The following is a 15,467-nucleotide window of genomic DNA, read 5'->3' as shown; positions in this document are numbered from 1 at the left end:
CTAATTTTCTGTATTTTTAGTAGAGATGCGGTTTCCACATGTTGGCTGGGCTGAGTCTTGAACTCCTGGCCCCAAGCCCACTTTGGCTTCCCAAAGTGCTGGGATTACAAGTGTGAGCCGCCGCACCTGCCCAGCTCACAGCAAAGCTTTTTGAGAATGTGATAATAATCTGGTAATAATGGCTCTTCACCAAGTAACTAAGGTATTTCACAGCTTTCCTGGCTTAACCAGTTAGGTTAAGGAAAAGAGAAGCCCCCAAGGTGAGGTGAGGCCTCCTGGAATTAGGGCTGGAATCCACTGATAAGTAAGGGTCTGAGTCTGCCTACCCAATTTTACATTCGCTGGTAAAGACTGGAGTCCTTTTATTCCCTAATTATGTGGCTCATGGATCATCTATTTAGATCTACATAGATCCTTCAGGATCTATTTTTATCTATCATCTGTTGCTGGAATTTGTTGTTAAATGAACTGACTGTACTTTATGTTTCATCACCCCTTGCACACACTCACAGGCGTCCATCTCTGCGCGGTTAATCTGAGCCAGGAGTTCCCTGTGACGTCAGTAATAACTGACCTATTTATCTGTGTCCCGGGCTGCTGATCTCAAAGTAGAGGTTTAAAGGAAAGAACACCAGAAATCATTACCTTCTTGCCTGTATAATTAGTAATAGGAAAAACCCAGAAAGAGACAGAGAGAAAGGGGGGAAAAAATCCTCTGAGAACCCTGGTATATGTGGCCGGCTAATTCAAAAAAGTCCCAGGGTAAGTTGGAAAACGCGTTCTTTAAGACCAGATCAAGGTCTCTGCTCGTCATCAGGAAATATGATTTGTGCTAACACAGGCCTTCCGTTAAAAACCTCCCGGGCAAGTTAGCTAAGGACAGCAGGTCTGACCTATGAGTTAACCAAAACATTACCTCATCTGCAAAGAACTCCAAGAACCATTCAGATCCTGAGGTCCAAAATCCTTTTTCTAGGTTTCTGTAAGTTTCTCACTTTCAAAGCATGTACAAGTGTGGCTCCTCTGTCTCCCAAAGGCAGGCAGCTTGGGGCCGCACTGCTGTCATCAGTAGAAAAAGGCAATGTCAGAAGTTCTTTGAAATTTCCGAACAATGACAGGCGTTAACATTTTTCCAAAATACTGCTACCAAATTCTAAGGTGATAAATATGAAAGAAAAAAATTCGTAAGCATTTCAGAAAATAAAGAGTGGATATGCAGAAGATAATGAAAACGATTAGGCCTCCATCTCTACCCGAAGCTGCCTAAACAGCTCCCGAGGGGAGGAGGGCTCTTCAGATCCGCGGGGCGGGGCTCCCAGGCAGCCTACAGCACCAGGACAGCATCCATCTCCCCCTCCGCGGCTGCAGAAGGTCAAGTCAGCATTGCTTCCTTCTTCCCGCGCAGCTGGAGTGGAGCGCCCACAGCCCCCTTTACAAAATAATAATAATAATAATAATAATAATAATAATAATAATAATAATAATAATAATAAACAAGTGATGGAAAAGATCGGGCTCTGTTCTTGTTGCAGCGGGGGTGAAGCTCCCAGGAGCCCCCAGACCTTGGGTGTATGGCTACCTGATATATTTGCTATATTAGTGCTCCCTGATGTTAAACAAATAGAATACTCTTTTTAGGTTAGTTGGAGTTTAACTGTGTTTTAACTAAGGGGTGCAGCTTTGGCCTACGGGCTAGAAAGTTTGGTTAGGAGGTTAGCACTGATGATGCGAAAAATGGTCAAGATGGTAACGTGGCCTTCTGCAGGAGAGGGGGCGATGGACGCTGTCATTGCACTGTAGGTTGCCTGGGAGCCCGCCCAAGGGGTCTGAAGCCAGCTTCAGCTGCAGCACAGAGAACAGCTCTTGAGTGTCTAGGGAATGGGGCTTGCTGCCGCTTTGGCTTTGCATCTGAGGGAGAGTGCTTTGCTAGGTGGATGTGTGTTAAGTGAGGAGAAGTAGGGAGGTATAACTCCAGCAACTACGCAGTCTCCTTGCCAGTGAGTCCCGTTTCTCATCCATATAATGCTGGTCACAGACAAGCAAAGAAGGAAGAATTTTGGAGTCAGGATTACTTCAAGCTGCATTCGAATCCCATAAAAGTGACTTATTTCTGACTATAGATCGTCAGCCTGGCAGGTCCAGCTCAAGGACCTTCCAGGGAATGGAGCAGCAGTGCTGGTGAGGCAGTTGGAACCTGCCTGCAGTCCTGGGAGCCTCCTTTAATAGAACTACAAAAGTCAACGTCACTCAAATGCCACTCTGTGTCTGCATGGGGGGGAACAAAGCCCTAAAAAGCTAAATGGCAAATAATTAAGAAAGATTGTAAACAAATGTTAGTTTGATAAAGATAATAAAATTAGGCCACACTAACTTTGAAAGCAACTAGATGGTAAGAAATCTTTCTTTTAAAATGCTGCACAAATTACATTCGGTTCTCTCGATGAAATGATCAATATCATTTTTCTAAGTCTAGGAGTCTCCAGAGACTTGACATGGAAACCTCGTATCCATGTGATAGATTTATTTTATTTTTTATTTTTTTGAGACAGAGGCTCGCTCTGTTGCCCAAGCTGGAGTACAGTGATGTGATCGCGGCTCACTGCAGCCACCACCTCCCAGGTGATTCTCCCACCTCAGCCTCCCAAGTAGCTGGGATTACAGGTGCGCAGCACCATGCCTGGCTAATTTTTGTATTTTTTAGTAGAGTCGGGGTTTCACCATGTTGGCCAGGCTGGTCTCAAACTCCTGACCTCAAGTGATCCACCCGCCTCGACCCTCCAAAGTGTGGGATTACAGGCATGAGCCACTGTGACTGGCCCATGTGACGGATTTTAAATGATGATAGTATTAAAGGATTTTGGTTTCCTTGTGATTTCCTTTATACATCCACTTACTACTGTAAGTTTCCTTTTTTTTTTTTTCACATTTCTTTAAACGTAATTCCTCCACCTGTTCCCTACACATCACTCCCTGCTTTTCTACACAGAAACAGTGTTTGTTTGGTTGTTTCCATTTTGCCCCCTTTCCCACGACTTCAACCTCTTCTGTTTCACTTCGTCTTCCTCCTTTTTTCCTGTAGTCTGGATCCTGTTTTATTTTGGAGGTGGAAGATGTGGTTGGGTCTGACGTTTTATTTTGGAGGTGGAAGAAGTTGTTGGCTCTGCTGTATCCTCCAGTTACCACCTTGAACTCTCTTTCTGCTTTGTTTTGTTGTTGTTTTCAGTAAAGGATGATTTGCCTTTGCCATTTCTCTATTACTCATTCCCTGCAGGTGAGCACAGTGGACCCCATGTTTTCTGCTCCAAGCAGCTGCCTGAACAGCATTACCCCTGCTCATCAATCAGAGCCTCCAGCATTCCCTCAATTTGCTCTACACCCCAGGCCGCCCAGCCCTGGGACATGACGACCCTGCCAGCGTCCTCCTGCCCCCAGTTTCTTCTCCTCTACTCCTTCCTGAACCCCACTTATCTGAAATTTCCCCACATAACAATAGTCTCTGGTTTTCTTTATCTAATTTGCATGAAAATGACTACCACATTTCACAATTTCAGCAATTTGTATTAAGGAATATTGGGAATGTCTTTGCATGACAAACATCTTATAAAATCAAATGTTTACCATGAATGATGGAAAATTCATCTACAACCATTTTTACATCATCAATGCTAACCTCCTTATAAACCTTTCTAGCCCATAGACCAAAGTTGCACCCATGAATTAAGACATGGTTAAACTCTAATTAATATGAAAGGAGTATTCCCTTTGTTTAATTTAACATGGCCAGGTGTGGTGGCTCATACCTGTAATCCCAGCACTTTGGGAGGTAGAGGTGGGTGGATCACCTGAGGTCAAGAATTCAAGACCAGCCTGACAAACATGGTGAAACTCCATCTCTACTGAATACAAAAAATTAGCCAGGAATGGTGGTGCATGCCTGTAATCCCAGCTACTTGGGAGGCTGAGGCAGGACAATCGCTTGAACCCAGAAAGTGGAGGTTGCAGTGAGCAGAGATTGTGCCATTGCACTCCAGCCTGGGCAACAAGAGCAAAACTCTATCTCAAAACAAAAACAAAACAAAACAAACAAACAAAAACCATTAAGGAATGCTAATATAGCACATATATCATCAGTCATTTTGTCGATATGTAGTCATAGGTTTCGAAGTGTGAAAGAGACTGGCCCTTATGATTCAATCAAAGGAAAACACATCCGTGTGTTTGGGGATTCTGTTAGCTTGCTGTCAGCTCCACGACCTCCCTTCCACCTTGGGATCTAGGATGCCAAAGCTGGGACCTGCAAGCTGCCTGCAGTACAGGGCACCAGATGGGCCCACAAGCTGGAGGAGGAAGAAGGGCTCTGGGTCCTTCATGTTTGCTTCCTGGGGCTTCTTGGCCTCTGCTTCTGTGGCCATCACACTGGTCACACTGCTTCCTCTGGGCAGGAGCTGGCTCCAGTATGGAGCTTATCCTTCCAAAACCACCTTTATTACACACCCGTTCCCATGACCCCAGCTGCAGTCACAGGGACCTCCTCCCAGAGCCCCTGCTCTGAGCTCAGAGATACTGACCGCACCAGGGAGCACCTCCACTTCAGACCTGTAGGGTCCCTTCTCTATGTGGCTAAGCATCAATAATTTCCACCACTTCCCTTTGTCCTGCTGCCCTGAGGGTGACAGCTGTTTCTTGTGATTGCTACCTGCACAGCACCTCAGGGCTCTCTTTTTCTCTTTCAGTTAACAATTATACTGATAGTTCACGCTTCTTGTATTGAATGCTCTCTGCTCCAATAACTGAAGTGGTTTCTGTCTCCTCGTAGGATCCTTCAGACTTGTCTTAAAAATAGTGATTATGGACCAGAGAAGCCATTGCTTGAGAAGTTGGTATCAGGCTTCATCCATAAGACCTTTCCTCATAATTTTTCTTGACCAAGAGCTTACCAAAGTGCATTGACTAATGGGGCATAATTGACCACTAAAATCTACAGCAGCATTTTCATAAATGTTCAATCAAATTCAAGTGCAGTTTTCCAATTTTTACCACAGGTGTGGACCCTGGGGAGCCCTACATGGGTCTCCACTTTGGAACCAAGGTTTTTGATATGGTTTGGCCATGTCCCCACCCAAATCTCATCTTGACTTGTAGCTCCCATAATCCCCACGTGTCATGGGAGGGACCCAGTGGGAGGTAATTGAATCCTGGGAGTGGGGCTTTCCTGTGCTGTTCTCATGATAGTGAATAAGTCTCACAAGATCTGATGGTTTCATAAAGAGCAGTCCCCTGCACATGCTCTCTTGCCTGCCACCATGTAAGATGTGCTTTTGCTCCTCCTTCACCTTCCGCCATGATTGTGAGGCCTGTCCAACCATGTGGAATGTGAGTCCTCTAAACCTCTTTTTCTTTATAAATGACTCAGTCTCAAATATTTCTTCATAGCAGTATGAAAATGGACTGATACAGCCTGTTTCCCCCGTGTGGGAAGTGTTGTCTGGTGTTCACTTACATCTGGGTCCTTACAGCATTTGCCTTCAATTGACGAGAGCTGGTGGGCTCAAGGCTACACCCTGCTCCTTGGGAGCAGCCAACATCCAGTGACAGGTCCCTTCAGGGGTGCAGAGTTCTTGTCTTGGCTTGTCTGGGAGCAGCTCTGAAGCACCATCCCCATTTCTGAGCTCTCTGTGAGATCAACTGGGTCCTCTTCAGCAGGTGTTCCATGGTCTAGTTCTTCCCTCCTCCCAGTCTTGCTTCACTCACCCCCAATGGGTGTTGCTCCTGCTCTTTACCCATGTCTGTCTCACATCTGGCTTCCTGAGTACACCTCCTATGGCATCTAAACTATGCCTGAATGGTGCTCCCAAGAGTTGTTACTTCTCCCTGTCAAACAACCTCAAGGAGACTGCACGTGGAATGCTGTCATACCTGCTCGACAAATGCTAACGCTAAACATGAGTTGCTACTCAGTCAATAGTTTCATCTCAGAAATCACCTTTGCAAAAATTATATCAGTAAGAAAAATTATAACAGTAAGGGGAGCTAACTACCCCTACCCCTCTTGCCTTTCCCTTAATTATTCCTGGGCTATTGAGCCGAGCTGACTTTGGAAGACATTTAGGCTACAGTATAAATAATAATAGGCCTTATCCAAAACTCGATGGCTTTTATAAAGCTAATGGGAGGCTGTCAGTCTAGGGAGAATAGAGGAGCCAAGTCCTGCTAAGGTGCAGACATGAAGGATTTTCGGCCATTATTTATAAGATATGCAACTTCCGCAATATCTCCTGAAAATAACACCACTCTTGTAGATGGGTCTTTTGAGATTTTTCAGGTTTTTTGCATGTCTGACACTCATGGTTCCACCTGGACCTGCCAGCCCCGCTCCCGTGGCCCCGCCCAGAAGCAATTCAGCCTGCGGGAGGACAGCTTCAACACCCTGTGATTTCATCTCTGCTCCAATCAATCAGCAGCAAGCACCTGTTACCTGAACACTCCCACCCCTTTCTCAAACTGTCTTTGAAAAACCCCTAACCAGCCAGGCACAGTGGCTCATGCCTGTAATCCCAGCACTTTGGGAGGCCGAGGCAGGTCGATCACCTGAGGTTGGGAGTTTGAAACCAGCCTGGACAACATGGTGAAACCGTATCTCTACTAAAAAATACAAAAAAAGCCCAGTGTTGTAGCACATGCCTGTAATCCCAGCTACTCAGAAGGCTGAAGCACGAGAATAACTTGAACCCAGGAGGTGGAAGTTGCAATGAGCCAAGATCATGCGATTACACTCCAGCCTGGGTGACAGAGTGAGACTTTTTCAGAAAAAAAAAAAAAAAAGAAAAAAAAAGAAAAAAAAAGAACAACAACAACAAAAAAAAAAAACAGAAAAAGAAAAAAGAAAACCCCTATCCTATGAGCTTTGGAGGAGGTGATTTGAGTACAAATTCCATCTCCCACATGGTATGGCTGTCCTCATGTCTATTAAACTTTTTTCTTTACTACAATGCCATGATCTTTCTTCATGCACCAGGCAGGAAGAAACCCCTTGAGTGGTTTCATCTGCAGGAGAAAAAGAATAAGCGGAATATCTAAAACCGAGAAAAAATAGAAAGGAAAATAAAGATCGTAGAACCTCACCAAAATCAATGTTGCAAGGAATTACCGATGCTAAGTGTGGTTAATAACAAATGATAGAAAGACTGTATAGATGTTTGACCTTAGGAGTTATCAGAAAAAAGAACAGACAGAAGTCATTTGGAATATATCCATACCCCTTGCCCCTGCCATAAAGCAGGGGACCCCAGTCTGGAAGGAGCTCTCCACAGGAACAAGGGCGGTTGGAGGATGAGGCTCAAGGAAACAAACTGGAGAGAGAGAGATGCTATCAGCCTCATTCCAGAGTTATAGAACGTGGATGAAATAAATGCACCTGACGATTGGTGCTATGGACGGAATGTTCATGTTCCCATCCTCAAATTCATCTGTGGAAGTCCTGACCCCAGTGTGGCTGTATTTGGAGATAGAGTCTTTATAGAAGTAATTAAGGCTAAATTTGGTTGTAAGGGTGGGACCCTGATCCAACAGAATCAATGTCCTTGTAAGAAGAGCCAGGAGAGAGCTTGCTTTCTCTCCACTATGTGAGGACACCGTGAGGAGGCAGCTCTCTGCAAGCCAGAAGAAGAGCCCTCTCTGGAAACCAAATCAGCAGGTACCTCCTGCCTCCAGAATTGGGAGAAATCAATGCCTGCTATTTCAGCTGCCTAGACTGTGATGTTTTATTACAGCAGAAACACAAGTGGTTAAATGGTTACTACATTAATTCTGTTTGCATAGTGAAATTCCAAGATTAATAACTAAATATTCACACCATCTGGACATTTTCTTCAAATTCCGGAGCTTTGCAGCCCTTTCTGAACTGAGAGTTCCTGACTCTGAGTCCTAAGCTCTCTCTGGAAGTTGAGATCTTAATATGACTTAGCTTTCTGCTGGCTAAATGCTTGCCAGGATTACAGAATCAAACAGTAGTCCACCTTGGCAAAATGCAAAGCAACTCATCAAACTATAAGACGTATGAATGATCTTATGGCACTTCTGGGAAATATTATTTATTTCCTAATAGTCACTAACATCTACTGAGTCCTAAGGTTGCCACTCCAAGTGTATTACTATGTTTAACAGTAGCCTTTTTGAATAGGAAATATGCTACCTCTATTACAGAGATGAGTAAATAGCCTGTGGTACGAAGAAGTTAGGGGAATTTCTCAAGGTCAAACAGCTTATAAAGGGTTGATTCAGGATTAGAAAGCAGAGAGTCTGACCGGGGAGTCAGCCGACTCCGTCATGATCCTGGGATGCTCCTGGTCAGCCGTTTTCTCCGGAGTCAGCCTGGGCTTTCTTCTGTTGCTGTGAGTCTCCAGCACACCTGGTGTCTATCATGAAGAGTTTTCATACAGGGAAATAACTCCAAACTTCACCTTGCATAACTAAACCCTAGCCAAACACCCACAAAACAGCGGAGAGTCTCCTTTTCCCTTTCCCTTAGTGTTTACACGGAACAAACACAAACCAATGGCTTAATAATCCCAACAAGTGAGAAGTATCCATCCAAATGAATGTTAGGCTTGGGTGATGTGAAACGTAGACTGGCCTCACTGAACCAACTCTTTACTAGGGTTCCCTTTTTCTTTACTTTATGAAAACACTATATTAGTTTTATATTAATTTTAGTACTTTAAGAATGATAGTACTGACTAATATTAATTTTTAATCAATATGACTCAGAGAAAAATATACACACATTTCTCAAAGAAATATATACAGTCATCCTGGGTAAAGGAGGTGGATCGGTCAGGAATCCCAGGTATACCTAAATCTGCAGGCATGTACAAAAAGTCAGCTGTTGATATATGTGAATTTTGCCTCCCTCCAATGCTATATTTTGGATCTGCGATTTGCTGGAAAAAATCCCTGTAAAAGGGGGACCCATGCAGTTCAAACTGGCCTTGTTCAAGGGTCACCTGTACATTCACTTGTGTGTGTCATAGGCACTAATACGTTACTTTCTCCACTAAGATTTCCCGTACTTTTATTTGGAAGACAGTTTATTTCTGTTTTTTGTTGGTTTGTTTTTGTTTTTTTTGCTTGTTCTGTTTTTCTTTCTATCTTTCTTTTTTTTTTTTTTCTTTTTGAGATGGAGTTTCACTCTGTCACCCAGGTTGTAGTGCAGTGGAAACGATCCCAGTTCACTGTCACGTCCGCCTCCCGGGTTCAAAGGATTCTCCTGCCTCAGCCTCCCAAGTAGCTGGGATTACAGGTGCATGCCACCACGCCTGGCTAATTTTTATATTTTTAGTAGAGACGGGGTTTCATCATGTTGGCCAGGCTGGTCTCAAACTCCTGACCTCAAGAGATCTGCCCACCTCGGCCTCCCGAAGTGCTGGGATTACAGGTATGAGCCACCACGCCCAGTGGAAGACAGTTTATTTCTAAATCCCAACTCTCTATATGATACTCTATCAACAGAAAACATTGAAAATTATAATCTGTTTGAATTGGACATTCAGTTTTAAGTAATTCAAAGAATGCTTGCATTATTTATTTTTATGGTGCTTTGCCAGATTTTTTCACAACTACCGGAAACTATCATCTGTAAAAGGGTTCCCCTAAAAATTATACATGGGTATTTTATATATATTTGCATGTGTAAATATAGGTATATATCTTCACACATGCATAGAGCCTGCAGAGATTAAGCAACTGCAGGCTGGCTTGTTGTAAGCATGCAGACAAAAGTGTCAGGAATGATAGTACCCAGTATTTACTGAACACCTGGTATGTGTTAGGTATTGTTCTAAGCACCTTATTTTCATGCATTCACACACTCCTTAGCACGTGAGGATGGCATTGCTTTCATCCACATTTTTGGTGCTTTCATATGAGTTTTTCTTTGACCGTTGAGGGCATCTTCCATGGCCACCAAGCCAGCATTAGAAAGCTGGCCGCTTCCTTTTTCAAAGGAAAAGGACTTGGTCACCATTTTATTGTCAGTTTTAACAAGGTCAAGTAGACTCATTATGATTCATTCTGAAGTTGATGCCATTGAGTGAAATTATTCAGCATAAAAATAAAAGCAAAAGTAATTATTTGATTGCGTCTATTTATGTGAAACTACAACCTCTTGATTCTTAGAATATTATACAATCCTTTTAACAATGAGATAATATGCAAGGAAAACCCATGGAACAAAATCCCCTGGAAAACCCTAAATTTTTTTTTAGAGCTTTCAAATATATTCTTCCTCCAAAACATAATCTCAGAAGAGTGAATTGCCTTTGGAAGACTTCCACACAGGGAACACTGCTGTTATAACATAACAAGTAGTAAAGTGCCATCAAGCTTCTAAAGTAAGGGAGAACAGAAAAGCAGAAGGCAATTTTGTTTAAGAAAACAACTGCATTTGTTACACAATAACATAACAAAAGGAAATGAGACCACACTCTCTTAGAGAATTCTGAAGCCTTAATTACATTGTAAATTTTGGGAATTAATATGGTACAGGCAGCTTCTAAACTCATTCACAGGTCAGTCACTGACTTTCTGATTAGAGCATTAACCTGTCTCTGACAATCAGCTATAATTCCATTATGTATTTTTCCCAACAATATGAATCATATTGATCCTAAGGCTCAGAGAAGATTTCGGTAAGCTGAAAGGAATTTGGTAATGACAATGTGAACAGATGAATTTTGCATCTTCCCTGATCTGTCCCACCTCTGTAAGAAGAAAGTATGCTGCATTTGCTTATTGAAAAGGACCCGAGAGATTCCAGTCAGCCCAGTCTCTTTATCGTACAAGGAAGCCAAATTCAACTAAGACTGGACCGACCTGGCAGGGTGGCTCACATCTGTAATCCCAGACTTTGGGAGACTGAGATGAGAGGATCACCTAAGGTCAGGAGTTTGAGACCAGCCTGGCCCACATAGTGAAACCCTGTCTCCACTGAAAATACAATAATTAGCCAGCCGCAGTGGTGGGTGCCTGTAATCCCAGCTACTTGGAGGCTGAGGCAGGAGAATCGCCTGAATCCAGGAGGCAGAGGTTGCAGTGAGCCGAGATGACATCACTGCACTCCAGCGTGGGAGACAGAGTGAGACTCTATCTCAAAAAAAAAAAAAAAAAAAAAAAGGCTGGATAGCCTGAATCTTATACTAGAAGAAAAACCCCAAATATGCCCAGGCTAAAGTCATCTGGGGACCCATTGTTTTGGGTGGTGGCCTCTAATTAGGGCTTGAACAAATTTGATAAAAATCTGTGTTTTGGAGAGTTTCCCGTTGGAGGTGAGGCTCCTAGACCAGGTACTTGGTCATCCCCTGAGAGCTCATCAGCCAGGCAGAGGCTCAACTCCCACCCAGGCCTGCTGAGCCAAAATCTGCCTTTCAACAAGGCCCATGGGTGATCACTGTGTGCATGAAAGGTTGGAAACACTGGCTTAGGTGATACTGCTAAGATTGAGATCAGAGAAGGACTTGTTTTTCTCTAGGGCTTTCCATTTACAAGTCAGCTGACTATTCCGGGAACCACACTGATGGAAGCTCTCAGGAGCTTTTGTCTTGATTGGAAAACACTACCTCAGCCAGGAGTCAGGTCAGGAGATGGAAAGGTGATGGGCAGAAGCTGGAGGAGCTGGAGGAGCTGGAGGAGCTGGAGGAGCTGGAGGATCTCCATGACAGGGGAGATGCACTTCCATAGATGCATCTTCGTGCAGATACAGAGGAATCTGGCACTTTCTGAACCTCGAGATCCAATTGATAAGGAAGGAAAATCAGTAAAATGTAACAATGGCCATGCACATCAATAAAATGTAACCACAGATACAGCAAAATGAAAGTACTCTGTGATCAAAGGTGGCACACTCTCTTCCTGTAGGCATGGGACAAATCAGAAATGATGAAAAAATGCATCACTTCAAGTTTCAAAATGCAGGTGACTTCTAACATCTCAGATTTTTCAACAACTCGGCACAGTAGGTGGTATTTTCCTTATGTTACAGATGAGGAAACCAAGGCTCAGGGGAGTCTAGTCAGGGCCCCAATTCACACAGCTACTAAATGTCTGAGCTGGGGTTCACACTTACCTGTCTGACTGCCTAACACCCACACTCTAAGGCATCCTGAGTTTACATTTGTCACCACCTTTAGTTCATTGTTGACCCTTCCCCCAAAGCAGTACAATTTTTTTTTTTACATTTGCCAAGTACTATGTTGTATTTGCATACCAATCCCTTTTAGTGCCAAATTTAGGAGGGAAACCCCATTTATTAATAAATATGTCCTTAAAGGAGGACATACTCAAAAGGAAAGTGAAAAAGCAGGCTTCTGACATAGCTTGTTAAATGGGTCAGAGTGTAAAGAAGCAGGTGTGCGCACTGGAGTACATTGTCTCCAAGCATCTGGCAGAAAACCACAATGTCATGGGATTGTGCAGACAGCTCCCCTTCCTTCCCTCAAATAAAAGCAGTGTCCACATTTCCGCTGTGATGGGCACTGCTTCCCTCCTTTCCCTATGTGAGCTGAAAACTCACCCCTAGGAGTCAAATTTAATCAATTACACAAAACTATTTTACCGGACGTGGGTTGTGAGCTGGAGGTAAGGCTCAGTTCCGTTTCTAAAGGAGTCCACAAGATTTGCTTCTCAGAGAAGAAATTAAAGTTAATGATGGGCCAGGTGCGGTGTCTCATGCTTGCAATCCCAGCACTTTGGGATGCCAAGGCAGGAGGATTACTTGAGGTCAGGAGTTCAAGACCAGCCTCACCAACATAGAGAAACCCTGTCTCTACTAAAAATACAGAAATTAGCCGGGCATGGCAGTGCATGCCTGTTATCCCAGATATTCTGGAGGGTGAGTCAGGAGAATCACTTGAACCAGGAAGGTGGAGGTTGCAGTGAGCCAACATCGTGCCATTGCACTCTAGCCTGGGCAACAAGAGTGAAACTCTGTCTCAAAAGCAAAAAAAAAAAATTAGCCAGCGTGGTGGTGCATGCCTGTAATCCCAGCTACTCTGAGACTGAGGCAGGAGCATCACTTGAACCCAGGAAGCAGAGGTTACAGTGAGCCAAGATCATGCCACTGCACTCCAGCCTGGGCAACAAGAAGGAAACTCTGTCTCAAAAAATAAAATAAAATAAAAATAAAGATAATGATAAACAAATTTAAAGGCAAAAAACAAAAATCTAATAAAGTTACTTTTCTCTTTTGTTTCAGTTGGAGCAAAATAGGAAGTAGTAAAGATTCCTTGAAATCTATTTCAGAGCTGTTCCTTTGGGGCTATGAAATAAAAGACAAGACTGGTAGAAATGACTTAAAATGCAAAAATGGCAAAGGTAATGATCACCGTGGGTAGGTTATAAACGACTGTGGAGGTTTGGGGAGGCTAAATCATCCAGCCAACGGAAAAGTAGTCATTTGAATCTGAAGACAGTGAGCCTCTGCCTGCGTCTGTCTCATGTATTGGAATATCCTCTTATTAAATTACAGTGTTTTATAACTTGTGAATAAAATTGGTATCATGTTTACTATGCAAAAGCCTCGCTATTTTTCAGATGGATATATATTTAATATGAAATTGAAATGTAATATCTAAAGCACCAAGCAATAAAACCAACCCACCTTGTTTCAAACCCTGCTTAAGTTATTTTTTTGAATTCTGTATCTAATAACATGGTGCAATAACACTGAAACAAGATTCACACTATGATACTATTTGTTTAGGAGACCAAGAGTGTTGCTATGGAAACCGACCTTCAGTGTATCTATGGAAACAGTGACAGTGTTGTAAATAAAGATACTGAAAAGAGGAACCTAGTAAACTTAGCATATGAATTCTAAGAAAAAGAATAAAGAATGAGGACCTGCGGGGAGAAAAATTGTATATTTTCTTGTAAGAAAAAAAGCATTGTGACATATTTTATTAATCTCATGATAAAACTTTTAAGCTAAGTTTTCAAAATCTCCATTGTGTCTTCTACTATCTTCTGTTAGTTTCTGTCTTCTTCTTAACTGTCCAAATCATAACCTATTTATAATTAACAAAAACATTTATTGAACATTGTTTCAAATGACGCAACTTCACTATGATAGCATTTTAAAGGCCAACTTACCTTTTCTAAAAATGTTAACATGAAAAAAATTTCAGAAAGCATATGTTTAACTCACTTATGTTTTGAAGTTATAAAGTAATTTTTTTAAAAGATCCATCCATAATATTTACCAAACAATTTTAAATGGGCTATTAAAAGGAGGTTAGTTGTTTTTGTTTGTTTGTTTGTTTTGTTGTTTTCAACATTGCAACCCTTTGAAATCATTATTAAAAGACACACAAACATTTATTGAGTTGTAATTTCAATCTTCTGGCTTCATTGTGTCCTGCTGGAAGGAAACAACTATGTCTTCCCTTTGCATCTCCTGATATTGAGGAGACCGCTGTGCACCTAGGAGAGAGCCATGTGTGGGATGAAGGGATGAAGCTATTAAAGGAATCGAATATGATAAAACAAACGAACACACAAAAAGACAACAGAATGCAATATAATGTCAAGTGCCTGGCAATAATTACATGAGCTGGCTCAGTTATGTGGAAACTGATCTCATCTCATTTGAAAAGGCAAGAAAAGGTGACGGTTGTACACCAAGTAAAGCAACTCAGAGGAAGGGAGGGATGCAGATTGGGGCCCGCAGCACAGGAGAGAGGCGCAAGGCCGACCTCACCTGCGCTCTCCAGAGCCACCCCCTCCTCCTCCTCTCTCATGTCTCCGGCCATCAATCAAGTCACACAGAGATGGACAGAGCAGTCCTTTTGTAGCCGAGCCGAGAGCCATGCTTCTCCTAAACTGTTGGTTCCCAGATTCTTAAAAGATTTTGGTAAGTAAATATTTCATGTTAGTATAGGACTATGTATCCTGGCGTTTTAAAAACTCTAGAATAGTGCTTTTTTCTGTTTAAATTTGGAATTCTGTCATTTTTTAAGATCCCCTAAGAGGGTAATAAATAAGCATTTCGAATGAGGAGTTTAGACTAGATCCTTAGTCTTCAAATTCCTTTTCAGGCGTGGGGGACCTCTGGGGAGTGGCTCCAGAGAGGCTGCCTCTTTCCCTCATGAGAACAGCTCTGCTCACCTCACCTAAACTTCTTCAAATGCCTTCTTTAAAGTATTGGCTTCCTTGTTTACAACAGTCAAGAACAACCTTGAAAACTTCTGGGGAGGAAATCCCTTTCAGCTTTCTATTTCTGCAATTCTCTGGTTACTTTTCAATAAATAGTCAATGATAAAAGAACCACTAAGAAAGCATTCCTAACCAGAGGACTTTTGGACTCCCTTCAACGTAGAGCTAAGGGTCTCTCAATGACATATCAAGGCACATTTAACCGCAGGGGACATTTATTGAACATCTATCAGTTGCTCAGAGCACTTGTTGGCAGGCGCCAA

At 42.7% G+C, this 15,467-nt stretch overlaps 1 long non-coding RNA gene across 1 annotated transcript, besides 1 other annotated feature; it reads left to right on the top strand.

Annotated features, from left to right (window-relative positions):
- Positions 12,151–12,480: an enhancer, noted in NCBI's record as "active region_2916". NCBI's record gives its function as "activates an Ori minimal core promoter by ATAC-STARR-seq in GM12878 lymphoblastoid cells {active_cell/tissue: GM12878}" and the evidence as "EXISTENCE:reporter gene assay evidence [ECO:0000049][PMID:35858748]".
- LOC124902541 (uncharacterized) lies at positions 12,362–13,562 on the top strand. The gene is made up of 2 exons (XR_007062365.1): positions 12,362–12,630; positions 13,247–13,562. It is a non-coding gene; the product is annotated as an uncharacterized LOC124902541 (long non-coding RNA).
- The last annotated feature ends 1,905 nt before the right edge of the window (positions 13,563–15,467 follow it).

Source organism: Homo sapiens, chromosome 10, assembly GCF_000001405.40.
Source record: "Homo sapiens chromosome 10, GRCh38.p14 Primary Assembly".
Taxonomy (NCBI): domain Eukaryota; kingdom Metazoa; phylum Chordata; class Mammalia; order Primates; family Hominidae; genus Homo; species Homo sapiens.
Note: the sequence above shows the minus strand (reverse complement) of the source record. Positions and strands in the feature narration are given on the sequence as shown.